Here is a 27971-nt window from a genome sequence, read left to right as displayed (position 1 = left end):
CCCCGCAGTCCTTCCCCTCCACTCCCTTCCCCTTCTCTGCTCATGCAGGGAGCCCAGGAAGCCTCCGCCTCAGAGATGCTACCGCTGCTGCTGCCCCTGCTGTGGGCAGGTGAGTGGGCCAGGGGAGAGGTGCCGTGGGGCTGGGCCGAGCTGACCCTCATGTCTCCATAGGGGCCCTGGCTCAGGAGCGGAGATTCCAGCTGGAGGGGCCAGAGTCACTGACGGTGCAGGAGGGTCTGTGCGTCCTCGTACCCTGCAGATTGCCCACTACCCTTCCAGCCTCGTACTATGGTTATGGCTACTGGTTCCTGGAAGGGGCTGATGTTCCAGTGGCCACAAACGACCCAGACGAAGAAGTGCAGGAGGAGACCCGGGGCCGATTCCACCTCCTCTGGGATCCCAGAAGGAAGAACTGCTCCCTGAGCATCAGAGATGCCCGGAGGAGGGACAATGCTGCATACTTCTTTCGGTTGAAGTCCAAATGGATGAAATACGGTTATACATCTTCCAAGCTCTCTGTGCGTGTGATGGGTAAGGAACCAGCTCCAGGACTAGCCACAGGGGAAGGTCATGGGGGCCGTAGGGCAGGGCTGGGACGGGAGCCCCGTCTTGGGAGGCGGGTACAATTAAGCATGTTGGGCTCAGAGAAGGAGCTGGACCAGAGACTGGGCTTCCCCCTGGGTGAAACCTCAGACCTCCATCCTGATCCTGCGTCCCCATCTCCTCACCAGCCCTGACCCACAGGCCCAACATCTCCATCCCAGGGACCCTGGAGTCTGGCCATCCCAGCAATCTGACCTGCTCTGTGCCCTGGGTCTGTGAGCAGGGGACGCCCCCCATCTTCTCCTGGATGTCAGCTGCCCCCACCTCCCTGGGCCCCAGGACCACCCAGTCCTCGGTGCTCACAATCACCCCACGGCCCCAGGACCACAGCACCAACCTCACCTGTCAGGTGACGTTCCCTGGAGCCGGTGTGACCATGGAGAGAACCATCCAGCTCAATGTCTCCTGTGAGTGCTGGGCCAGGACGCCCGGGTCCCTGAGGGTGTGGGGGGACAGGGCAGGGCTGAGCCAGAGCTTAAAGTTGGGGACCTGGTTGCCAAAGAGGAGAGCCCCTTTCCCTGTTTTCATGGCTCCTGAGGGGAAGGCCCCATGCCTACCATCCCTCCTCAGGGATGTTGAGGCGGCCACCTCTTTCCACCCCAGATGCTCCACAGAAAGTGGCCATCAGCATCTTCCAAGGAAACAGCGCAGGTAGGAACCAGCCAGTCCTGTTCTCTCCAGGGCCAGATGGAAGCAGAGTGGGGACTAACGGGGATCAATATGAGAAGCCAGGACTAAGGCCTCCATAGACTTCAAAGACCTGGACTGAATCTTTGCTCACCCCCAGCCTTTGTCGCCTCTTCGGCAGGAGCTGCCACACCCCTCGCACTCCCTCTTCTCTCTTGCTTGTTTTCCTACTGCCTCAGGCGTCTCCATGGTCCAGGAATGGCACTTGTCTGCCACGACGCTGTCCGCAGCCCTTGCTCCACTCTCTGCAGGACAGCCTGGGCAGCTCCAGGGAAATGGTCTGGGCTTTTCTGAAGACCTGAGGCCCCCACTTTACTAGTCTCCTCCTCAGAGCTAGTGTGGACCCCACAGGAGGAGAGGGACACCAGTGCTTTGCCCCTATACCCCATCTCTAACTCTCTACACCTCTCTCCCCAAAGCCTTCAAAATCCTGCAAAACACCTCGTCCCTCCCTGTCCTGGAGGGCCAGGCTCTGCGGCTGCTCTGTGATGCTGACGGCAACCCCCCTGCACACCTGAGCTGGTTCCAGGGCTTCCCCGCCCTGAACGCCACCCCCATCTCCAATACCGGGGTCCTGGAGCTGCCTCAAGTAGGGTCTGCAGAAGAAGGAGATTTCACCTGCCGTGCTCAGCATCCTCTGGGCTCCCTGCAAATCTCTCTGAGTCTCTTTGTGCATTGTGAGTGTGGGGGGAGGTGCGCGAGAGTGTGGGCAGCTGGGCGAGAGCTCCATAGTATTCAGAGAAGAGGCCCCTGCTAAGTCCTGTCCTCCCTCCCCAGACCCCTCACAACTGCTGGGACCCTCCTACCTCTGGGAGGCTTAGAGTCCACACTGCAGTGGCTCCTCCCTGCACTGGCAGCTTGGGGAGGAGATTCTGGAGGGATGGGAACAGCAGCCATGGCTCCTTCACAGTCACCCCCAGCCAGCCGGACCCTTGGTCAACAGCTCCCTGAGCCCCTGCCAGGGATTCAGCTCAAGTCTCAGGCTCAGCTTTGAGGCCCAGAACATCCCAGAGCAGCTCTGTCCCAGCTGCTGCCAGGTCAGGAGTCTGCTAAGAGGTGACAATTGGGGGAAGAGAAGCCTGGGTCCTTGTATGAGTTTGCTAGGGCTGCCATAACAAAGTAATTCAAAGTGCACGACTTAAACAATAGGGATTTATTGTCTCACGGTTCTCAAGGTCAGAAGTCCAAGATCATGTATGGTGTTAGAGTTGGTTCCTTTTGAGGCTGTGAGAGAATCTCTTCCATGCTCCTTCCCTGGCTTCTGGTGGTTTCCTGGGAGTCTTTGGCGTTCCTAGGCTTAAAGAAGCATTGCCTCGACCTCTGACTTAATCTTCACATGGTGGTGTCTGTGTCCACATGTGCGTCTGTGTCCACATTTTCCCTTTTTTTTTTTTTTTTTGAGAGAGGGTCTCACTCTGTTGCCAGGCTGGAATGCAATGGTGCGATCTTGGCTCACTGCAACATGGTAATCTGACATATGCAACCTCCACCTCCCGGGTTCAAGAGATTCTCCTGCCTCAGCCTCCCGAGTAGCTGGCACTACAGGCGCCCACCACCATGCCCAGCTAATTTTTATATTTTGAGTAGAGACAGGGTTTCACCATGTTGGCCAGGATGGTCTCGATCTCCTGACCTGGTGATCTGCTAGCCTTGGCCTCCCAAAATGATGGGATTACAGGTGTGAACCACTGCACCCGACCCACATTTTCCCCTTTTTATAAGGACAACAGTCATATTGGATTAGGGCTCACCCTGATCCAGGAACACCTCATTATAACTAATTACATCAGCTATGACCCTTCTCCAAATCAGGTCATGCTCTGAGGTGCTGGGGGTTAGGACTTCAAAATAGGAATTGTGGGGAGACATAATTCAACCCCTAACTGCTCCAGAGAAATGAAGCTTGGAGAAGATGTTTCCAAGGCCCAGACAAGAGTGGCTGGGGGCACAACGTCCTCAGTCTTGCAGTTGGGGGAAGGGGGAGTCATGGAGAGAGAAGAGGCTGGTTCCGGGTTCACAGGGCAGTGAAATGGTGAGTGACTGAGTCCTGGATGGGGGTGGTCACATTAGTGGAAGGTGGAGAGGAATGGCTGTTGGGAGGATGTCCTGGAATTAGAACTGGAGTTCACTTAAAATTCAAATTATAGGGAAACCAGAAGGCAGGGCTGGTGGTGTCCTGGGAGCAGTCTGGGGAGCTAGCATCACAACCCTGGTTTTCCTCTGTGTTTGCTTCATCTTCAGGTGAGAGTGGGCTCCAGGGAGGCACAGAAAGACTTCATGTGGGAAGGGCACACAGGTGGCAGAATCTCAGAAAACCTGAGTGGAGGAAAATGGGGTGATTGGGAAAGTCGAGAGTGAGGAAAGGGAGGGTAGTGGTGGTGTGAATTACCCCGTTGACCAGCTGAACCAAGCAAGGGGTCTCTTTGAAACCGTGGTCCAACTCTTGGGCTCATGTGAGCACCTGGACCTCTTAATTACTTCTGTACTCTCCATAGGGAGTGGGGAGATGGTTTTCTTTTGGGGAAAGAGGCTCCAAATAACCAGGCTGAAAGGCTTAGGGCTGTTCCCTCAGAGTGAAGACTAGAAGGAAGAAAGCAGCCCAGCCAGTGCAAAACACGGATGATGTGAACCCCGTCATGGTCTCAGGCTCCAGGGTGAGTGACAGAGACCTTAATTTCCATTCAGCATTATCCCTTTTGAATGCTGCCCTAAGTAAGGACCCTGAGGCATTTCTTCATTAACACCTGACATTCCCTGCGGTTCCACATGTGACATTTTAAATTTTTGACTCAGTAATAATTTAAAAAGTATTGATTTCAATAATTTAAAATAGTAACATTTGGAACTGAATCTAATAGTTCTGATGAAATACGTACTCCAGTTAATTTGCTGGGGGTATTTATGCTCCTCATATGTCAGATTATCATATTTCCTGGAATATTAGTCTTTTCTTATGGCATTGATTATTGAGAAAAAGAAATGAACAAAACTTAGTCTGTGTCAGGTGCATTAAGTACAAGGAATGTGGTAGACACAAGCCCTAGAGTAGACAGCCCAAATCAACCCAAAGTCATTACTGCTCATCACTATTACAATATTACAGGCATCTCTAGCTGCCTGTAATATTTTTTCTTTGGCATTGACCTTGGAGAACCTGATGACTGCGTGTCTTGGGAATGGTTGTCTTATATATTATCTTACCAAGGTTCTCTGAATTTCCTGAATCTGCATGCTGACCTCTCTAGAGAGGTTGGGGACATTTTTGTGGACAATATCCTCCAATACGTTGTTCAAGTTGCTTGCTCTCTCTCCTTCTCTTTCAGGGATGCCAATGAGTTGTAGATTTGGTCTCTTTACATAATCCCACAGTTTTTGGAGGTTTTGTTCATTTCTAAAATTCTTTGTTCTTTTGTCTGCCTGAGTTAATTTGAAGAACCAGTCTTTGGGCTCTGATATTCTTTCCTCAGCTTGGTTTATTCTGCTGTTAATACTTCTGATTGTGTTATGAAATTTTTATAGTGAGTTATTCAGCTCTATCAGCTCAGTTTGGTTCTTTCTTAAGGTGGCTATTTCATCTTTCATCTCTTCAATTGTTTTACTGGATTCCTTTGATTCCCTGGAATGGGTTTCTACTTTCTCCTGAATCTCAATAATCTTGATTGTCATCCAGATTCTGAATTTTTCGTCTGTTATTTTATCCATTTCATTCTGGTTAAGAACTTTTGCTGGGGAACTAGTGTGGTCATTATGAGGTAAGAAGACACTCTGGCTTTTAGATTTGCCAGAGTCCTTGCACTGGTTCTTTCTCATTTATGTGGGCTCATGTTCCCTTACTTGTGCTGTCATTTGAGTATAGTCAGTTGGCTTTGTTTCTGGACGTTTTCAGAAGGCCAACGCTTTGTGCACGATCTTTATTTGTTGCTAAATTCTTGTCCTTAGTTTCACAGTGGGGTATATTAGCAAAGTATTTTTGGTGTTGAAGTTTGGATGTGATCCAATAGGTGGTGCTTAAGCATAATGGCTGGCAGGTAGGCTCTTGTTCAGCCACATGAATCCTCTGTAGTTCCTCACATTTGCAGCCATGCTCCCTCCTAGTGCTCTGAGAGTGTGGGCTCCTCTCTCACTCAAGTGCTGGCTACAGATCTTGACTTGGCACTCAGGCTGCACACTACAGCCCCGTGGTGAGCCCAGGCATTTTGTTTCCTCCCCAGCTTGGAGCAGCAGGGGCAGGGACCTTGGAAGTGCCAGTGGTAGAGGGCTTTTTCCTTGTCTCTTGGGGCTTCATCCTAGAGGAATGCAGAGCTGCTGCCAATTGGAATAATTACCCTGGGTTGAGGCAGCTGTGCTGTGGGCCCAAGCAGGGGGACTTACCTGGTGAAGAGTAACGGTTGGAGGCTCACAGGGAAGAGAGACTGGGCTCCTCTCTGTAGTGCAGCTGTGGCATGCTGGAGGTTCCACCAAATAAATCAGGCTCTTTGTTCCTTCCCTAGCCTGAGGGCAGCAAGGGCAGCATGGCTGCAGCAGCAATGGCAGAGGGGCTGCCAGCTGCTCTGAGAGCTCCACCCCAGAAAGCCACAGAGCCACTGCCAATGGGAACGTTCATCTAGGGGTGGGGCCGCTGTGCTGCAGGCCCCAGCCAGGGGCCCTGCCTGGTGAAGAGCAGGGAGTAGGGGTCCCACAGGGAAGCGAGACTGGGCTCCTTTCTGTATGGTGCTTGTAGTGTGTTGGAGGTGCCAGCAAAGTGATCAAGGTCTTTATTCTTTTCCCAGCCTGAAGACATCAAGGGCAGTACCACTGCAGTGGCAATGGCAAAGAGCCTGTGGGTTGACCCTGGGATATCCTCCTCAGAGAAACACAGAACTGCCACCAACTCAGGTGGGGGCAGGGCAGCTGTGCTGGGGGCCCGGGTCAGGATGTCCTTCTCAGTCAGGAATAACAGGGGCAGGGACCCACACTGATACGGTCTGGCTGCTTTTCCATAAAGCAGTTCCGGTGTGTTGGAGGCCAGTGATAGTCCTTATGCTCTTTTCTCCTTCTCCAGCCTCGGGGGAGTAGGAGTGGGAGCTGTGGCGGCAGAAAAAATGGCAGACTTGTCTGTTACCTCTGGGAGCCCTGTCCCAGAGAAGTCGAGAGCTGCTACTGGCCCAAGTGCTCAGGCAGGGGTGAGGTGGCTATGCTGGGGTCCCAGGCCAGTGGGCTTTCTCTGGCGAGCTGTAGCAGAGGTGAGGTATGCAATCTGTCAGCTCCTCAGCACCATAAATGTGGTCCCTACCCTGAGAGCATGTGAGAGAACCTGGCCTCTCTTGTTGGTGAAGCTATGACACCTGGTGCCCAGCTGCTCATAGGTCCAAGGCCCTTGGGGCTCCACATGGGCCTGAGCAGTGGCCCTGCCCAGACTCCGCACAGCTCTCCATGTCAGTCTGGAGGCTTCAGGGGATCTCTCATGCCCAGGACTGCAAAGGTCCATGGCAGAAGTGTGGGTCCTTGGGGGCTGTCACTTGCTCACTGTTTCCCCATCGTGGGGAGCCTCCCTTGGCTCCATGCCAATCCTGGGGAGCTGCCTTGTCTCATTCTTCTCTGCTCTCCGGGTCATGTTGCTTCCTTGATGAATGTCAACGTGTCCTTCTGGATGGTCTAGTTGGCGAGCTAATGTTTATTTGCCACTCTATCTCCTCTCCATTAGAGTGGCGCACACTCCATAGTCGATTTTTTAAAAACTCTTATCTCAGTAACTGGTAGTATAAGTACATGAAAAATCAGTCTACCATGGTGAATGTTACATGTGCAATTGCAAAGAATGTGTTTTCTGAAGATACTGGATGTAGTATTTTATAAATGTCAATCAGGTCAAGTTATTTTACACTAGTGTTCAATCCTTCTATATCCTTAGTGATTCTCTGTCTGCTTATTTTTACAATTTATTTTGTTAAATCATGCTCTGTGATTGGTTGCATATGCACTTAGGATTTTTATATCTTGTAATGAATTGACTTGTTTATCATTATGAAATGTCTTTATTTCTGGTAATATTTCTTTTCCTAAAATACACTGTCTGATTTAATATTACCACTCTAGTGTTCTTAATATTAGTGCTTGTTTGTTATGCATTTTCCCTCCTCTTACTTTTAACACATGTGTGCCTTCATATGTATTGTGTCTGTCTTACAGATATCACATTTATTCTACCTATTTTATCAAGTCTGCCAATATCTTCCTTTTAATTGGAGTGTTTAGACCATTTATATTTAATGTGATTATTGATTTGGCTCAGTTTAATTCTACCAGATTGCTCTGCTTTATATTTATATTTGTCCTTTTATATTTATCTCCCTTTTTTGCCTTTTTGATAGTTTTAAAATATTACTACTTTTTTTTTTTGAGATGGAGTCTCACTCTGTCACCCAGGCTGGAGTGCAGTGGCACGATCTCAGCTCACGGCAAGCTCCGCTTCCTGGGTTCACGCCATTCTCCTGCCTCAGCCTCCCGAGTGGCTGGGATTACAGGTGCCCGCCACCGCGCCCAGCTAATTTTTTTTTGTACTTTTAGTACAGACGGGCTTTCACCGTGTTAGCCAGGATGGTCTCCATCTCCTGACCTCGTGATCCACCTGCCTCAGCCGCCCAAAGTGCTGGGATTACGGGCGTGAGCCACTGTGCCCAGCGGACCCTTACTTTTAATCTGTAACCCTTCTTGAGTCCTAACGGAAGGTTTGAGGTGTTTACTGGGCCTCTCCTTATCAGACCTGGAACATCAAATTTGGTTTACCCAGTTCCATCAGACTGCTGAGAGGAGAGTTACTACTTTTATCCTCTAGCAGGGTTGTCCAATCATCTGGCTTCCCTAGGGCACATTTCTTTTCCTTGTTGGTTTTCAGCAATAGGATTATGACATGCCTAGGTGTGGTTTTCTTTGTTTTTATCTTTCTTGGTATTTGCAGATATTGTTGGATATATGACTTGGTATTGTGAAAACATTTTAATCATTGTTTTTTCCATAATTCTTTAACTCCCTTCCCCTTTCTGGGATCCCAGTTGCACCTGTGTCAGAATGCTTGATATTGTCCCACAGGCCAATGAAGCTGTGCTTATTTATTTTTCGTTTTTGTGTTTTCTTTGTGCCTCAGTTTGGAAAGTTTTTATTGCTACGTTTTTTAGTTCATTGCTATTTTCTTCTGCCGTACCTAATCTGCTATTAGCTTTTCTTTTTAGATATTGCCATTTTTCATCTCTAGAAATTCAATTCAGTTTATTTTTTTTTTCCTGAGACAGGATCTCACTCTGTCGCCCAGGCTGGAGTGCAGTGGCATGAACATGGCTCACTGCAGTTTCGACCTCCTAGGCTCAAGTGATCCTCCTGCCTCAGCCTTTCAAATAGCTATGACTACAGGCATGCACCACTGCGCCTGGCTAATTTTTTAAACAAATTTTTGTAAAGACAGGGTCTCACCATGTTGCCCAGGCTGGTCTCAAACTCATGGGCTCAAGCAGTACTCCTGCCTCGGCTTCCCAAATTGCTGGACTTACAGGTGTGAGCCACCACACCCAGCCCAGTTCTTTATAGTTTTCATTTCCTTATTATGTTCTGTTTTCCTTTAAGTTTTTGTTATTGTTGAGAGAGGGTTTCACTCTTTTGCCCAGGGTGGAGTGCAATGGCATGTTCTCAGTTCACTGCAACCTCCACTTCCTGGGCTCAAGCAATTCTCCAGCCTCAGACTCCCGAGTAGTCGGGACTACAGGCGTGAGCCACCATATCTGGCTAATTTTTTTGTGGGTTAGGGATTAGAGATGGGATTTCACCATGTTGCCCAGGCTGGTCTCGAACTCCTGAGCTCAAATCAATCTGCCCACCTCAGCCTCCCAAAGTTCTGGGATTACAGGCATGAACAACCATACCTGGCCTAAGTCTTTGAATATGTGTATTTATAGCCGTTTTTAATCTTCTTTTCTGCTAATTCCATCATTTGGTGATATGTTTCTATTTACTGATATACTTTTCATTGCTTACATTCCACAGCTTCTTCGCATAGGTAGTGATTTTGGTGGCATACTGGACATCGTGTTACATTGTTGATTATCCGGATATTTTAATCTTCCTTTAAAAATTGTTGAGCTTTGTTCTCGAATGCAGTTAATTTATTAGTGGATTGTCTTGACCATTCAAAGATTTTTACAAAAGCTTTGGCAGGGTGAGTTTATATTTGCCTTCATTCCAGCTTTCTCATAGCTGTTCCTTCTCCAGCAGCACGTACCCAGGCTTTCAGCCTTTCACTCTGTGCATACAGCTTAGTATTCAGCCAAAGATTCAAGGGGACCTCTATGCATATTTTTTGGAGTTCTTTCTCTGTGTAGTTTTTTCTCTCTGTACTCTGCTCTACAAATTCCACCCACATCATTCCCACTTGAACTGCAGTTGCTGCCTCCACAGTTTCATAAGACTCTTGTGTTCTGCTTGAATTTATCCTCCACGTACTGCAGTTTGGAAATTGTCATTTGATCATGAGACTCACCTCATTGGTTTCCTTTCTTTCAGATGTCACAGTCCTGTCTGCCTGTTTTCCTTGTGAAACACATATTTTACATACTATGTATAGTTTTCTAATTATGCTGGGAGGGTGCCAGTTACTCTACCATAGCCTGAGTGAGAACTGACCAAGAATAATTCAAGTCATGATTCCTGTTGTTCAGACCCTCAGGAAAAATTGGTGCTGGGGGAGGTAATACCTAGACTGTCTTCCAAAAGTCTGGGATGTGTGGATGGGGGAAGGTGGCCAGGGGAAGCCCAGGGAGAGGCAATTTCCACCTGTTATTTTCTTCATTCAGTAGGGCTTTTGTGCTGATCTGTCATTTCTCCTGCAGAAATTCACACCTTTAGTCTCGGACTTTGCCACTGATTTGTGTAGCAAGAATGCAGGCAGGAATATATTATCCCAATGATGGAGGAAAGACATGAGTGGAACATAAATCTCATTTCTGTAGCCATTCACGCACTGTCACCAATGCCTCCCTGAACACACACACACACATATACACACACACACACTCCAGTATAAAATATTTTGTTTCCCCAGAGATTTCCCACTTTTTCTTATTTGCTCATTCCATAATTTCTTGTATTGCCTCTTGGTTTATTTGGAGATATAACACACTTAGTGTGTGTTAAATCCCCACTTTGTTGGGAATCATTACATAATTTCTTTACCATGCTTTACTTTCAAGTTTTCAGGGGCATTAGAAAGAGAAGGTACAGGAGAGGGCGTCCGGTGGCCTGTACTGCAGGACCCGGTCTCTGTTCTGTCCTCCAGTACCTGTCTAGGAATCAGATATGCCACTCCTGCCCCTGCTTTATATTTCAAAATATCTGCTATCATGAATTAAAAAAGTGATTTTGTTTCCTGTTTTTAACTAACTGCATCTCATAGAAAACCACACTGCCTACTATCTGGGACTGTGTCTGCTTTCTTCATGGCTTAACATCTAGCACATGTCACATGACCTACACAACAATAAGCTGGTTCTGAGTCCTTCTCAGTGGTGCATTTATATAGATGTGTGTCTATAGGCAACATGTGGAGCCTCTCTTAGCCTTAGTGTTCCCGTTTGTAAGATGAATGTAATCATGGAATCCACTGCAAAGCATTTTTTGAGAATAGAATATGACTGATTAATGTAAACACTCACTAAGGGCTTGCCAATCTTAATTATTAAATATTTTAAAATAAATGAATGCGGTGGATGTGGTGGCTCATGCTTGTAATCCCAGCACTTTAGGAAGCCAAGGTGGGTGGATTCCTTGAGCCCAGGGTTCAAGACCAGCCTGGGCAACATAGTAGAACTCCATCTCTACAAAAATTAGCCAGGTGGGGTGCATGCCTGTAGTCCCAGCTACACAGGAGGCTGAAGCAGAAGGTTCATTCGAACCCAGGTGTTCAAGGCTGCCTGAGCCGTGATCATGCCGCTGCACTCCAGCCTGGACAACAGAGCGAGACCCCATCTCAAAAATAAAATAAAATAAAATGAAATAAAATAAAATAATAAATGAATGGATAAATAATAAAGTTCCATCAGTTCTACTCCCTTTCTGATCCTTGGCTGCTTTCTTTGAGAACCTATTGTCCAGCCCTGAATCTTTTCTTTTCTTCCATTAAGGGTCATCAGCACCAGTTCCAGACAGGCATAGTTTCAGACCACCCTGCTGAGGCTGGCCCCATCTCAGAAGATGAGCAGGAGCTCCACTACGCTGTCCTACACTTCCACAAGGTGCAACCTCAGGAACCAAAGGTCACCGACACTGAGTACTCAGAAATCAAGATACACAAGTGAGGAATTGTCCAAAGCCATAACCTTGATTGGAGAGAACATGGTACCTCTCAGTGTATTGGTTACTAGGGCTGCCACAGCAATGTACCACAAACCGAGTGACATAAACACAGAACTTTATTTTCGTATAGTTTCAGATGTTAGAGGTCTGAGAACAAGGTGTTATCAGGGTTGGTCCCTTCTAAGGCCTCTCTTGTTGGCTTGTAGATGGCTGTCTCCTCCTTGTGTCTTCACATGGTCTTTCCTCTGAGTGTGTTTGTGTCCTAATCTTCTCTTCTTATAAAGACACTAGTCATATTGGATTAGGGCCTCCCCATGACCTAATTTAAATAAATTAACTATTTAAAGACCCTCCAAATACAGTAACCTTCTGAGATATTGAGATTTAGGACTTCCAACATATGAATTTTAGAAGGGAACAATTTAGCCCATAACACTGTGTCCAATTCTTTTAAAATTAATGTTTTTGTTGTAAATGGACTATATAAATACCTTCGTATATATGGCAGACCACAGGACTTCTGTCCAAGAGAACTGAGTTCAACTCCATCTATGCCAGCTATTGAGCAAGTCGCTTTATGTCCCTGCTCTGTAAGGCAGGGAAATAATTTCCATCTAACCAGATTATTGTGAAAGGTCAAAGAAAGCATACAGCTAACATACAGCTTTGTTAGCTGTAAAACAGCTAACAAAGGCCCTGACACAAAGGTTTTCATAAAGTCTGTATATTTTTGTAAATGAATGCCTTGTATCTGGCTTTGGCTAGCTTTTTTTTTTTTTTTTTTTTTCTGAGATGGAGTCTTGCTGTATCTCCCAGGCTGGAGTGCAGTGGTGCGATCTTGGCTCAGTGCAAGCTTCGCCCCCTGGGTTCACACCATTCTCCTGCCTCAGCCTCCCAAGTAGCTGGGACTACAGGCACCCACCACCACACCCGGCTAATTTTTTGTATTTTTAGTAGAGACGGGGTTTCACCGTGTTAGCCAGGATGGTCTTGATCTCCTGACCTCGTGATCTGCCCTCCTCGGCCTCCCAAAGTGCTGAGATTACAGGCATGAGCCACCGCACCCGGCTTTGATTAGCTGTTTTAACAGACGGTTTCTGCTGGCAATTTCTTCTAAGGCTGAAAAGGAGTAGGCCCAGAGGCCACAGCACCAGGTGTCTGTGTCACCCCCTGTTCAGAACTCTTCACGACTCCCCAAAATAAGGTTTCCATCCATCATCTTTCTGCTCAAGGCTCTCTACATGATCTTGTCCATCCAGATTTCCCCAGATCAATTCCTCACCAGTCACCAATACCCCATGTCCATTTCCACAGCTTCCTCTTACAAATCCCAGTCTCCACTATTCCAGTGAAATTGAAGAAAGCATTTAATGAAGACCAACTATTAAGGAAAATTCTTAAGAGTAGCCATGAAAAATAAAAAGATAGATTACACTTAAAAGACCACAGTTAGCAGTGGCTCACGCCTGTAATCCCAGCACTTTGGGAGGCTGAGGTGGGTGGATCACTGGAGGTCAGGAGTTCGAGACTGGTCTGGCCAACATGGTGAAACCCCATCTCTACTAAAATACAAAAATTAGCTCGGTGTGGTGGCACTTGCCTGTAATCCCAGGTACTTCTGCAGGTTGAAGCAGGAGAATTGCTTGAACCTGGGAGGTGGAGGTTGAAGTGAGCTGAGATTGCATCACTGCACTCCAGCCTGGGCAACAGAGCGAGACTCCAACTCAGAAAAAGCAAAACAAAACAAACAAACAAGCAAAAAACCACAATTAGACTGACAGCTGACTTTTTTAGGAGCAATATTGGAAGGCTAAATGCAATAGAAAGATGTCTTTGATGGCTTAAGAGAAATAAATGTTGTTTTAGAAAGCCTACTCAATGAAAACACATTTTAAGACTGAAAGTGAAATATAGATATTTTAAGGAAAACCAAAATATGTGAGTGTTAATAAAGAAAAGATTTCTCAAATAAATTCTAAAACATATAATTCAGGTATTAGGAAAGTGATCCCAGATTAGATTTTTGAGATCCAAAAAAAATGAAAACCTAGGAAAGTAGCAAATATGTGAGCAAAATGAAACAAATACTTGTTGTAAAAATGATGGTTTGTAGAGGGGTCAAACATCAAATGTAATATTGAAATACCAATATTATATAGCCCAGAAACTATAATAACATAAAGTTCAGAAGAGTGTAAATAGAATTTATATTACATAAAGTCTTTATATTTTTCCAGAGAAAATTAAATGTTATGATGAATGTTACATTTGGATAATTTATTATTGTAATCTCGAGGAAATTTACTTAAAGATTCGAAGCCAAGTTTACCACCTGTGAACTAGAGGAAGTATAAAAGGTGATAGAAACATTATTCAGTCAAACCAGAGAAGACAAGAAATAAGAGATTAAAGAAAAAAAGGATGGATAGAACATGTAGAATACAAGTATAAGATTCTGTATTTAGACTCAAATACAGTCTAAGAATCACATTAAGCACAAGTGAATTAAATGCTACAGTTAAAATACCAGCATAGTAAGACTGGGGGAAAGTGTAGCTATACGTTGTTTATAAGAGATCTACATAAAAGATAAATATAGGGGAGGTTGTGTGTAGAAGGATGAAAAAAGACATACCATGAAAACCGTAACCAAAAGAAACTGATGTAGTCAGTCAAGTTTCCACTGGAAAAAACAAGTCTGTAGGATGTATGTATTGAAAGATTCAACTATTCACAATAGCAAAGACATGGAATCAACCTAAATGCCCATCAATGATAGAGTGGGTAAAGAAAATATGGTACATATACTCAATGAACTACTATGCAGCCATAAAAAAGAATGAGATCATGTCCTTTGCAGGGACATGAATGGAGCTGGAGGCCATTATCCTTAGCAAACTGACACAGGAACAGAAAACCACATACCACATGTTGACACTTCTAAGAGGGAGCTAAATGATGAGAACACATGGACACATAGAGGGGAACAACACACACTAGGGCATTTTGGAGGGTAGGAGGGTGGGAGGAGGGAGAATATCAGGAAAAAATAACTAATGGGTACTAGGCTTAATACCTGGGTGACGAAACAATCTGTACAACAAACCCTCGTGACACAAATTTACCTATGTAACAAACCTATACTTGTACCCCTGAACTTAAAATAAAAGTTTAAAAAAAGGAACTTCAAAAAAAAGAAAGAAAGACTCATTGCAAGAAAATGGCGTATGCTTTTGTGGGAGCTGGCTAGGCAAGTCCGAGATCTATAGGGAGGGTCATCTGGAAGTCCAAGCTAGGACTTCGTCATGAGCTCAAGCTGCAATCCACAGGGAGAATTTCTTCTTTCTCAGAGCAGCCTCAGTTCTGCACTGAAGGTCTTCCACAGATTGAATCAGGCTTACCCAGATTATGAAGCATAATCTTCCTTAAACTGATTATAAATCTTAATCATGTGTACAAAGCATCTTCACAGCAACACCTAGATTAATGTTTCATTGAATATCCTGGAGACTGTTACCTAGACACACTGACACATAAAACTGAATATATCAATATCAGAAAATATGTCTATTACAAAAAGAAGTATTAATGGAGGTAAAAGGGACCACTTCGTAGGGATTAAAGATTCAATCTACTAGGAAGATACATTTGAAATGTACCTGCACATGATAAAATAGCTTCAGAATACATAAGGCAAGAATAGGCAAAGTGAAAACAAAATAGCCTAATCCACATTTATGGAGGGCAATTTTTAACACATATTTTACAATAACTGATGGTACACACAAACAAGAGAATTGTTAAGGATATGCAACATAGTATACATAAATAACATGATTAACAAACTTGGTCTATGGCCATAGGTAGAAACTGCTCCAAACAACTGCAGAAAACATATTCTATTTGAGCACACATGGAGTATTAAAAATTTTTTTTTTACCATATACTGGGCCAAAAGTATATTTCAACATATGTCAGAGAAGTGAAACCATACAGAATATGTTAATTGATTTCAATGTTATTAAGCTCAAAATAAGTAATAAAATGTAATTATATACCAATGTCTATGTAACTGTACATAATTAGTGGAAACTTAGAAAATCCCTTAAAATAAGTCATAGATTAAATAATCAAAACATACAGCCAGGCGTGGCGGCTCATGCCTGTAATCCCAACACTTTGGGAGGCCGAGGTGGGCAGATCACTTGAGGTCAGGATTTCAAGACTAGCCTGGGCAACATGGCGAAACCCTGTCTCTACTGAAAAAAAAAAAATACAAAACTTAGCTGGGTGTGGTGGCATGTGCCTGTAATCCCAGCTACTCAGCAGGCTGAAGCAGGAGAATTGCTTGGATCTGGGAGGCACTGCACTCCAGCCTGGGCAACAGTGAGACTCCATCTTAAAAAAAATTGTCATCATTATCATCATAACACAAATAAGAAATTATTTAAAACTGGATACTGAAAATACTATAAAACTTTTAGAGTAAAACTAAAGCATTTATTAGAGGAACTATATATAACCTTAAATGTATATGCTAGGGTGGGAAAAGCTAAAATTTAATAAACTAAGCTTTAATTTCAAGAACTTAGAAAAAGAACAACAAAACCAAAAGGAATTGGAGAGAAGGAAATATCAAATGATAAGAGCACATAGCATAGAAAACATATTCAGTAGAAAGGAACAACATCACGAACAGCTAGTTTTTGATACAAATAATAAAATGGGCAAACCTCAGTTGCAATTAGTCCAGAAATATAGAAGGCAAAAATAACTAGTATGCAGGAATATAAGGGAGAAAACATTACTTAATCTAATGCAAAATAAGCAGAAAGTAGTAAGCTGTATGAAAAGTTTTGAATACTTATAGAAAATGGACAAATTTCTGGGAAAAAATGTGTTACCTAACGCTGTAGGCATGGTTCAGTTTGTATCTGTCCTTCTGACCTCTCAGTCTCAAAATGAAAAGCCAAATGTATTTATGAAATTCTGCCACTAGGGGGAGTTCCTTCAGTCCCGCTCTCAGGTTCACTGTGGTTGAGTTTGTCATGATGCAAAAGTCCACTCCTTGCTGTGCCAGTTGATTGAGCAGAACCACTTGAAAACCAAGATGAAATGTTTTCCTCCTCAAGCAATGGCCATAAAGAACTGCCCATGAGGTCACACATGTGATTTCATGAAAAAATAAGGCAATATCCCAGGAGGAGTTGTAGGAATCTGGGTCACCTGCTCATGTCACTTGGTTGTGATTTCTGGACTTCTTGAAGCCCATCTTGAAGTCAGTTATATCATATCCAAATTCACTTCATAATGGATTATTGCTTCACATGCCCAACCTTTTAGCTTGATGGGTCACAGAGCACCTACTTCATGATGGGCAGTTTGTATTATATATTCGCTTCATATCCCATAGTAAGGGTATCAGTCTCTACCAAGGCCTGGTAATAAGTCAGAAGCTCTTTCTCAAGAGATCCATCATGTTCTCAAAAACAGAGCATGGCTTTGCAACAAAAGTCCTAGGGGTCTTCACTCTGGGGCACACCGACATTCTTAATTATTCCAGATAATTCAAGTATAATTTAATCTTGAGTTATAAACCTCAAGTTGTAAAGCTTCTTATACTACAGCCTGGACCTGCTGCAGAGCCTTTCCTTGAACTGAGAACAACTCCAAACTGGAAGTCTTAAGATTTACGTAGTAAGTGGGTTAGAGCATCCAATCATAGTTGTACATTTCCTCCAAAATCCAAAGGTGACTATCAAGAATTGAGCTTCTTTGGTAGGGGTAGGATGACCTCCCATTTTATCTCTGATCCTCTTTAAAGCTAATGTGCTCAACTTATCTCTAGGGATTAAGTAATGACACATTGCCTTTGACAATTCCATCATCCTGATTGAAAGCAGTGTGATTATATCCGTTGCAGTATTTCTTTCTGTCATCCCCAATAAACTGATCATAAATCTTAATCCTGTGTACAAAGCACCTTCACAGCAACACCTAGATTAACGTTTCATTGAATGTTCTGGGGACTATAACCTAGAAACATTGGCACATTAAACTGACCATCATAAGTATGTCAATATCAGAAAATATATCTTTTACCAAACAAAGTGTTAATGGAGATAAAAGGGCCAATTTTTTAAGGATTAAATATTCAATATACTAGGAAGATACATTAGAAATTTACCTGCACATGATAAAATAGCTTCAGAATATGTAAGGCAAAAATAGGCAAAGAATGGCTTCAGAATATATAAGGTGAAAAAAAATAGGCTGAACCAGGTTAGTCTTCACAGAGCTTTTCATGGACACTTGTGCTGTCTTTACCAGTATACTACTTGAGGGGTAAGAGCAGAGGAGATGAGGGTACAGGTTGAACTTTTGTCATTTTTTATTTTCCAACATTTTTAACTCTCTAAACCTTTGGGTTATTTTTTCTCCATTATGCCAAGAAAGTTCTGACATCATCCTCGTTAAATTTGGGTCATTGTTGAGTCCATTTTCATTGGAATATAGTGATAATATTGTTTCAATCAAACATAAAGCAAATTCCTTCATCCACCTGAGAGCTTCTTGAGCCAAAACATTGTATCTGTAATCTTTTGTTAGTACACCCGTATCAATATATTTGGCTAAGCCAGTGTAATATTTTATCTTTGTTGGTCTAAGATTCCTAGTGTCCACTTTAACATATATTTCTCAGGTGTCTGCTGATATAAATCAGAGAATCCAATAATTCCTTTAGAATGTAAGATCTTCTCAAGGGTCGGGCATTGCATTTACCCCATGGAAGAGACTTGCATTTTATTCTTGGTCTGGAATGAATAGTGATTGGGATGAGTTTTGAAGAGACTCAGCACCTTCCTGTGCTTGGGCAATCTCTCCAAGCAGAATTATTAGAGTCTTCCAGTAAGGAAAGACTAATCTCTCCAGACCAAGGAAATCAGGCTATATTCTGGTATCAAGAGAGTTTCAAAAAGTCTTGGGGCAAGGGGGTTGAAGATTTTCGACTTTATCCAAAGACCATGCATAGGGGTCATCCACATGTTCTTGGGTACTTGATCTTCATGCAAGACCCCTTTCCAAGCCCAAGCCCCTCAGTCCTTTCCAATAACTGCCCTAAATTTCCTATAAGAAGCGCAGACAAATCTTTAAATTCAAATTATGTCGTAATTCTTCAATAAATACAATTAAATTTGGGGTCTGATTTTTTTTTTTTTGCAAGATTGTCCCCATAGTCAAATGACATGAAATTGTTTGAAGTCATAAGGCATTTCTGTAGTTTACAACCATAACTTGACCTACAAGGTAAGACCTGAGCTTGGCACTTGCCCTTTGCAGGTTTTCCAGCAGAGTTAGGAGCAGAGAGTTTACCACACAGTCTTTGTGGTCATTAATGCTCACACAGCAGTGAATAGCATCGCCATTCGATCCTTCAAGGCATTTGCTTAATAGCCACTCAATCATAGGTAATTAATTAATCATGATGGCACTGTATGTGGAATTCTACGAAACATTTAAAGGAGAAATAATATCAAACTTTCCCAGACTCCCTCAGTAAATAGAGAAGGAGAAAACACTCATTTCATGAGGCAAAATTCAAACCTGATACCAAAGCTTCATGAGGACGTTACAAGAAAAGAAAACTGCAGATCACTGCACCTCATGAACATAGAAAAGTCTTCATTTAAATATAAGTAAATCCAATCCAACAAATAAAATTGACGTAATACATGATGACCAAGTGGGGTTTCACATCCAAAAATAAATGTAATTCACCACGCTACCAGAATAAAAGAGAAACATCAAATGTGCCTCTTGATTACTCCAGAAATAACGCTGGGCAGAATTTAAAACACATTTATAATTTAAAACAATCTCAACAAATTAGGACTAGAAGAGAAAAACTTCGATTTGATTAAGAGCATCTAAAAACCTGCAATTAGCATCATACGTAATAAAGAAATATTGAACACTTTTTCCCCTAAGATTGGGAGAAAGGAAGGAATATCTGCCCTATTATTTCTATTCGACATTGTAGTATAGGTCCTAGCCAGTGAAATTAACTAAGAAATAAAAAATACAAGGCCAGGCACGGTGGCTCCTGCCTGTAATCCCAGCGCTTTGGGAGGCTGAGGCGGGTGGATCACAAGGTCAGGAGTTGGAGACCAGCCTGACCAACATGGTGAAACCCTGTCTCTACTAAAAATACAAAATTAGCCAGGCGTGCCAGCACATGCCTGTAATCCCAGCTACTAGGTAGACTGAGGCATGAGAATCGCTTGAACCCGGGAGGCAGAGGTTGCAATGAGCTGAAATCACACCACTACACTCCAGCCTGGGCGACAAGAGCAAAACTCCATCTAATAAAAAAAAAAAAGTTTAACTGACAGGCCGTGTGGATAGATTGTATATGGGAATTGGAAATCAGGATGACACTGGGATGCAGGCAGATGCAAACAGATACCACTTGATACTGATGCTCAGACATCCCAAAGGGCCAGAGGGAACGCCCCCTGCAGGAAGTTTGAGGAGAGAAACACTGAGTGCTGCCTGGAACATATGAGGCTGGAGATGCCCACTTCATTTCCCGGAGTAGATGCCACAGAGACAGGAAATGGTCAGGGTTTGGCATCCAACTTTACCAGTCATCAGCGAGTCTCTTGGTTGTCATTCTCATGTGCCTTCATGGTCGTTTTTTGTTTTTTTGTTTTATTTTTGATTTGGAAACAACTACAGATTCATAGGAAGTTGCAAAGAAATGTACAGGGAGGACCCACACACCCTCCCCTCAGCCTCCTTCACTATCATCATAGGATATGAGAATATGATGATCTGAAAATCAAAGAATTGACATTGGTAGCTTGTGTTTTTAAAACAGTATATGAAATAGGAACCTTTTCATATTTCGCATTTCAAATAGGACATGTTGGAATAGGATGGATTTCAACAGTTAGGTGTCAGGAACAGAGGAGGAACCCTTAGAAAGATAAGGAAGATGGTTAGGAAGGTAGAAGGAGGCATGAAGTTTCTAGTATGTTACATATAGTTTGATCCAGGCAGGTGACTTAGGAGTATGTGTGTGTTGCCCACAACTGGTGCAAGGTGGCAGCTCTAGGTGGCCCAGAAGCCAATCTATGAAGTGTTTTAAACAGGAATGAGTGACTGAGCCTAATGCTACTGAGAGAGAGGCATCCAAGTGAGATGAGAATAGAAATTGTACAGGTGGTTCAGCACTTTGGAGGTCGTTAGTAATCCTGACCAGAACCGTTTGAATGATGTGGTAGGGACAGAGCAAGATGAAATAGGGTGGAGAGGAAATGAAGGAAGACATTTCCTCAGAGAAATCCTCCTGTGAAGAGAAGAGGGAACCCACAAGTTTGCAGGGAGACAGGCACAGGGGCTGATGGGCTCAGAAACTTTTCCAGGACCCTCTTGGCAGCACCTCCCAGGAGTGAGAAGGATCAACCCACAGCAGAGCCACTGAAGGCCCCTGACCCCCTCTCTCCCTTTCTCTTCCTATCAAACCCAGCTCTGCTTCAATTCAGCTGTGCACACAGATGCTGCCTGACCCCACACTGTCCTCCCCTAGTGCTGAAGTCCATAGGTCCTCATTCTCACCACGGGGATCAGCTCTAAGGTTAAAAGGGAGATCTAACCCAAGGGGGGCCACACTCTCAGTGGAGATGGTGAGGCCTCTGAATCCACTGGGGAGTCCCAGATTGGCACCTTTCAGCCTCAAGGTGGCAGGGGGTCCTCTCTCCCTTCTCTGGCCCATGGGCAACTGAGAACAATGGCATAGAAAAATCCACAGGAGGACGGAGACGTTACCACTTTCCTGGTTCCTGTCAGCTGGTTCCATATGGGTATGAAATGCCCAAAGGCAGAAGTGGGGCTGGGCCTAGGATTGCAGGACCTCAGGGGTCAGCTCTGAGGTCTGAGGGAACCACACCCACACCCTCCTCCGTTTACACCTTCTTGTGAGAGGCCTTTTTTCTGAGCTCTGTGGATGGAGGGGAGGGTGTGATATTTCCCAACATGAGCGTTCCCAGGAAAAAGATAACTTTTTTTTTTTTTTTGGAGAATACACATGTTGGTGGCTCATGGGGAACCAGAGATCAGAGAAAAGGGGAAGGTAAATATTAGGGTCTGAATTGTGTTCCTCTCCCCAACCAAATTTATCTGTTGAAATCCAACGTCCAGTACCTAAGAATGTGACTGTATTTGGAAACACATCTTTAAAGAGATACGTCTGTCCCTTGGTATTAGTGGGGGAGTGAACCCCCCTTGGATACAAAAACCCATGATACTCAAGTCTCTGATAGAAAATGAAAGAGTATTTGCATGTAACATAAGCACATCCTCCTCTATACTTGATATAGTTTGAATGTTTGTCCCCTTCAAATCTCATGCTGAGGCTGGGTGCAGTGGCTCATGCCTGTAATCCCAACAATTTGGGAGGCCGAGGTGGGAGGATCCCTTGAGCTCAGGAGTTTGAGACCAGCCTGGCCAAATGGCGAAACCCCATCTCTACTAAAAATATAAAAATTAGCTGGACATGGTGGTGGGTGACTCTGAGGGCTGGGGACACTGGCCCTCTCTCCCCAGGAGCCATATAAATGGAAAAGGTGGAGCCAGCATCCTCCAGACCCCTGACTCCCAGCCCAGATACCGGGACCCAGATCCCTGTGTCCAACCCTGACCCGCATCCCACTGCCCTCAGGGAAACCCAGTCAGGGGCCTGGGCATCCTGGCCCAACACTCACAGAACACATTGAGTTGGATGTTACTGTTCGTGGTCACACCAGCCCTCGGTAAAGTCACCTGACAGGTGAGGCTGGCGTCGTGGTCCTGGACTGTGGAGGGCACCGAGGTGGAGCCCAGTGGGAACATGGAGGCCCCATCCAGGTGATTGTCGGAGGCATCCCCTGCTCACAGGCCCAAGGCACAGAGCAGGTTAGATTGCTGGGGCAGCCGACTCCAGGGTTATTGGGATGAAGATGTCGGGCCTGTGGGTTGGACCTGTGGGTCAGGGCTGGTGAGGAGAGGGGGACAAGCAGGATTAGGACGGGGATCCAAGGTGCCACCCAGGGGGAAGCTCAGGCTCTGGTCCAGTTCTTCTCCTGAGCCCATCAACGCCATGCCATCCCAGGATGGAGATCCAGTCCCAGCCCTGCCCTGCCGCCACAGCACCTTTGCTTATGGCCTCTCCTGGAGCCCATGCCTTACGCATCACATGCATGGACAACTGGTTAATTTTGTATCTCCATTTCATATTCCCTCCCTCCATGTGAAAGAAGTATGACCCCTCAGGGAGCAGTCATTGATCTGTCGGTCCCTGGAAAGTTGCAACTGTCCCTGGGTCTCCTCCTGCACTTTTCTATCTGGGTTGTTTGTGGCCACTGGAGCATCTGAGGCTGGAAGGGCCACTTCCCCTAACCAATAGCTGTGAAGTGGGTCAGAGTCAGTCCAGCTGTCTTGGGGGTAGCAGAAGGAGCAGGGCACATGGACACCACCAAGGGTGGAAGGACTCCTTTCCCTTCCTCCCCAGTCCCCAGCCCACCTTGCCACTTGTCCTCTGGGTCTCCTGGGGGCTGCCTGGCCTCGGGTTTGCTGAGCTGGTCCTTCCAGAGCCCCCTCCAGGGAAGAGAAGAGGGAGAGCTGTGTCTGTCCTGGGGGCATGGCTATGGGTGCAGAGGGGTTTGGGGGCTCTCCCTCTGGCCCCCAATTTAGAGGTCAGTGAGGAAACAGCAATGAAAGTCCACAGGGAACTCCCCTTATCTGGGCTACCAGCAGTGGTGGTGATGGATGCAGGGGAGGAACAGTTGCTGGAGGGGGCTGGTCGTCTCAGATAAAATACAGGATGCCTGCTTGAAATGGACTTTCAGATAGAGAATAAATAATATATTTTTTAGCATAAGTATGTTCCAAATATTGCATGAGGCATGCTTACGCTAAAAAAAAAAAGTTTTTATCTGAAATTCAAATTCAACCACATATGTTCCATGGTTTTTTTTTTTGTTTTGATAAATCTGTCCACCTTAGGCTGGTGTCAGCCCCACGCCTTCATGCTTCCTGGTGAACTCACTGACCTTTGGTCTCCCAGAAGTACCCTCCCACCCCCACTAGGCCTTAGTCCACTTCCCAGTCTCCCTTCCTCCTCTGTCATTCAATTGGGCAATGCTTGTAACAGCTTTTGAGATCTGAACACTTGTACTCAAAGGTAACACTGAAGGCGAGAGTTTCAGGCAACATGAAGGGCTTGGGGTATGTGGGGTGAGTGGAGTAAACTCGGCAAGATATTGTCCCCTCACTTGGCACTTCCTGAAATGACTCTGTTTTGGTCACGGAGAGACAAGGAGCTCATCCCTCAACCTCCGTGCACCGGGAGTACCAAACAGATGCTGAGTTAAAGAGGATAGATGGAGGTGAATCTTACATGGCATATGAGCTCCAGGGACCCCAAGTTGGTAAATGAAGACTCTTAAAAATAGAAAAGCACTGGGGGTCTCCTAAGTGACCCAGATGCTGGAGAGATATTCAGGACAGGTCCTGGGAAGGGAGTGGTCAGCTCTTTGTAATGGAGGAAAGTCAGGAGAGGCCTTCTGGAGGAGGTGACCCCTAGCTGTTCCTGTCTCCGCCTTGTCCTTGTTCTCTTATCCACTTTGTTAGTCACTCAAGCTCTCATAGCAACGTGCCACAGGCAGAGAGGCTGAAACAACAATTTTTTTTTCTCACGGTTCTTGTGCTGAACATGTCAGCAGAGTTGGTTCCTTCTGGAACTCTCTACTTGGCTTGTAGCTGCTGACTTCTCTCTGTGTCCTCACATGGTTTGTGTGTCTCTGTGTCCTAATCTTCTCTCCTAGATGGACAGAAGTTATATTGAATTAGGACCCATACAAGTGGCCTCATTTCAAATGGATACAGTGCACCTTCCATATCCACCCATTCCATATCCTTGGATTCAGCCATCTGGGGATCAAAGATATTCAAAAAAACAAAAACCAATAAGAACAACAACACAATCATGAAAAATAATACAATTAAAATACATTATAACAACTAGCTGCATAGCATTGACATTGTATTAGGTATTATCAATAATCTGGAGAGGACTTAAAGTATTGTGTTAGTCCGTTTTGCATTGCCGTAAAGGAATACCTGAGACTGAGTAATTTAGAATGAATAGAGGTTTATTTGGTTCACATTTCTGCAGGATGTACAAGTAAGGAATCAGCATCTGCTCAGCTTTTAGTGAAGCCTCTGAAAACTTCTAATCATAGCAGAAGGTGAAAGGGGAGCAGGCATGCCACATGGTGAGAGAAGGAGCAAGAAGAGACACCAGGCTCTTTTCAACAACCAGCTCTTCTGTGAACTAATGGAGTGAGAATTCATTGTCATGGGAGGGCACCATGACCCAAACACCTCCTACCAGGCTCCACCTCCAACATAAGGGATTACATGTCAACATGAGATTTGGAGGGGACAAATATCAAGACTGTATCAGTCTGCCTTGGCTCCTCAAATCTCATCTCTTTCTCACATTGCAAAATACAATAATTTCTTCCCAGCAGTCCTCCAACATCTGAACTCTTTCCAGCATCAACTGAAAGTGCAAAGTCTCATCTGAGACTCAAGGCAAGTTCTTCCCACCTATGACCCTGTGAAATAGGAAACAAGTTATTTAATTCCAAGATACATTGGTGGTTCAGGCATTGGGGAAATATTCCCATTCCAAAAAGGAGAAATTGCCCCAAAGAAAGTGGCAACAGGCTCCATGTAAATCCAAATTCCTGCAGGCAGACATTAAACCTTAGAGCTTAATAATAATCTTTGACTTTGTGTCCCACATCCTGGGCACATTGGTGCAAGGGGTGAGCTCCCAAGGCCGTGGGCAGTTCTGCCTGTGGCTTTGACAGGTGTAGGCCACGTGGCTGCTCTCATAGGTTGGAGATGAGTGCCTGTAGCTTTTCCATGTTGAGGTTGCAAGCTGCTGATGACTCTACACTTCCCTATCACTCCCCTAAGACTCTTCCACACACACACCCCTCAGCCCCACAGCAAAGGCAGGGGGAGATTCACAACACAGGCTTTGAGGCCTGTTTTCTTCCATCTCCTGAAAACACCACCTACCTCATCTTTCCTTTTCCCCAATAGTTTTGAGCTACGTTCTTTTGGATACATGTTATGGTCACATGGGTGAAAATTCAAAATGCATAGCAGAGTCTGTCCCCAGAATCGCCCAGCGTCCATCTAGGCTGCCCTGGGCCTTGGTTTGCTCACCTGGAGGATCTCAGAGGTGCTCCAATATCAATAGTGAGACTGCCCACACCCTCCTCTAGGGCTGTGTGTGATTCCACTGCATGGATGGACTCTGATTGTGTAGCATCTCCCAGTGGAAAATCATGGCACTAATTTTATCGTACTGCAGAAACACTGTAATGAATAATCATAAATCTACTTCCACAAGCAATATCTGAGTGTATAGCATAGTTCCTAAAAGCAAAATATAGCAGTGTTATACGTTCTTTCTAATTTTAATAAAATGAAGTTGTTCTCAACTAAAAGTGGGCAAGTTTACATTCCCAACAGTGAGCTGAGAAGGTGTGTATGGCCCTGCACTTCAGCCTGTATCAGTGTCTGTTCCATCCACCAGTCTCTTTCTGTATCATTCCTCCTTGTCTTGATCACTGTCTTTCTGACCCTCTGTCTCTTTCTCTACAGCATCCACCACCTTGGGGAATGGCTCAGCCCTTCCAGTCCTGGAAAGCCAGTCCCTGTATGTGGTCTGTGCTGTTGACAGCAATCCCCCTGCCAGGCTGAGCTGGACCTGGGGGAGCCCAACCCTGAGCCTCTCACAGCCCTTGAATCCTGGGCTGCTGGAACTGCCTCAAGTGTATCTGAGGGACGAAGGGGAATTCACCTGCAGAGCTCAGAACCCTCCAGGAGTGATGCTGCAGGCGGTCAAGGGGGGCTGGAGCCCCAGCCTGGTCTTCCTGTCCTTTTGTGTCATCTTCATCGTGTGAGCATTGACCCTGGAGAGGAAGGGAGAGCCCTGGGGGAGGGTGGCCTGGGAGCAGAATCCCTGAAGCCGGAGCTGGAAGGACCTGGCTGAGTCAGGAGTATGAAGCAAGGGAGAGAATGAGCATGGGTGCATGGTGAGAATTTCATGAGTGCCCTTGTTTGTGGGGCCACATGTCTGTGACAAACCTCGGGCCCCATTGTCCAGGAAAAAAGAGCCTCTGTTTTCAATGTTGGGGTCTCTGGGACTACAGCCTGCTTGAATTCCTCCCCTGAAAATGGGCTTTTCTTTTCTACCACTTGGCCAGGCTGCAAATTATCCAAACTTTTACACTCTGCTTCCCTTTTAAATACAATTTCCAGCTTTCAGTGATTTCTTTCTTTGCTCACACATGAGCATATGCTGTTAGAAGCAACCAGGCCATGTCTTCAATGCTTTGCTTCTTAGACATTTCTTCCACGAGATACTGAAAATCTTCACTCTTGTGCTCAAAGCTCCACAGATTCCTAGGGCAGGGGCACAATGCAGTGAAGTTCTTTGCTAAGGCATAACAAAATGGACCATCGCTCTGGTTTCCAATAAGTTCCTCATTTCCGTCTGAGACCTCTTCAGCTTGGCCTTCACTGTCCATATCACGACCAATATTTCAGTCATAACTATTCAACCAGTCTCTAGGAAGTTTCAAACTTTCCTTCATCTTTCTGTCTTTTTGTGAGCTCTCCACACTCTTCCAACTTTTGCCTGTTAACCAGTTCCAAAGTTGTTTTCAAATTTTCAGGTGTCTTTGTAGCAATGCCCCACTCCTCTGTACCAATTTTCTGTATTAGTTCATTCTTCCATTGATATAAAGAAATACCTGTGACTGGGTAACTTATAAAGACAAGAGGAATAATCGGCTCGTGGTTCTGCAGGCTGTACAGGAAGCAGGATGTTGACATCTGCTTGGCTTCTGGGGAGTTCCTCAGGAAACTTACAATCATGGCAAAAAACAAAGGGGAAGCCAGCATGTCACATGGCCAGAGTAGCAGGATAGAGCAAATGGGGAGATGCTGCACACAGACAACAAGCAGATCTTGTTAGAACTCACCCACTCTCACAAGAACAGCTCCAAGAAGATGGTGCTAAGCCATTCATGAGAAATCCACCCCCGTGATCCAACCACCTCCCACTACAACCCACCTTCAATATTGAGGCCTATAATTCGGCATGAGATTTGGTGGGGACACAGATCCAAACCATATCAGGCTCTAATCCTATTAGGCTAATCCAAACCACCTATCTAAACACCATGCCTTCTAATACTATCACATGGGGGTTCAAAGGTCAACAAATGAATTTTGAG

The 27971-nt window shown here is 45.1% G+C and overlaps 1 protein-coding gene and 1 pseudogene across 17 annotated transcripts; one reads left to right on the top strand and one right to left on the bottom strand.

Annotated features, from left to right (window-relative positions):
- Positions 21–13872, top strand: SIGLEC6 (sialic acid binding Ig like lectin 6). 17 transcript variants are annotated; one of them, XM_011527537.3, is made up of 8 exons: positions 21–109; positions 280–531; positions 732–1010; positions 1207–1254; positions 1710–1967; positions 3438–3531; positions 3863–3944; positions 11436–13872. In XM_011527537.3, exons 1-8 carry the CDS (start codon positions 43–45, stop codon positions 11607–11609), a joined length of 1254 nt encoding a protein of 417 aa, XP_011525839.1. In that variant the 5' UTR covers positions 21–42; the 3' UTR covers positions 11610–13872. The 17 variants fall into 17 exon arrangements, 16 of the variants coding, with proteins under 16 accessions (XP_011525839.1, XP_011525838.1, XP_047295690.1 ...); XM_011527536.4 differs by having other exon boundaries at positions 1174–1254; XM_047439734.1 differs by having other exon boundaries at positions 172–531; positions 765–1010.
- On the bottom strand, positions 22863–23288 carry SIGLEC27P (sialic acid binding Ig like lectin 27, pseudogene; annotated as a pseudogene).

The sequence above is a fragment of the Homo sapiens genome, chromosome 19 (assembly GCF_000001405.40).
Source record: "Homo sapiens chromosome 19, GRCh38.p14 Primary Assembly".
Taxonomy (NCBI): Eukaryota; Metazoa; Chordata; class Mammalia; order Primates; family Hominidae; genus Homo; species Homo sapiens.
The sequence above is the reverse complement of the archived record's forward strand: the minus strand, read 5'-3'. Positions and strand labels throughout refer to the sequence as shown.

Coding starts and splice junctions, on each gene's coding strand:
- SIGLEC6 (XM_011527533.4), top strand. CDS start 43: ATGCAGGGAGCCCAGGAAGCCTCCGCCTCAGAGATGCTACCGCTGCTG. Junction 532..731: donor GCTCTCTGTGCGTGTGATGG/GTAAGGAACCAG, acceptor TCTCCTCACCAG/CCCTGACCCACAGGCCCAAC. Junction 3,945..11,435: donor TCATGGTCTCAGGCTCCAGG/GTGAGTGACAGA, acceptor TCTTCCATTAAG/GGTCATCAGCACCAGTTCCA.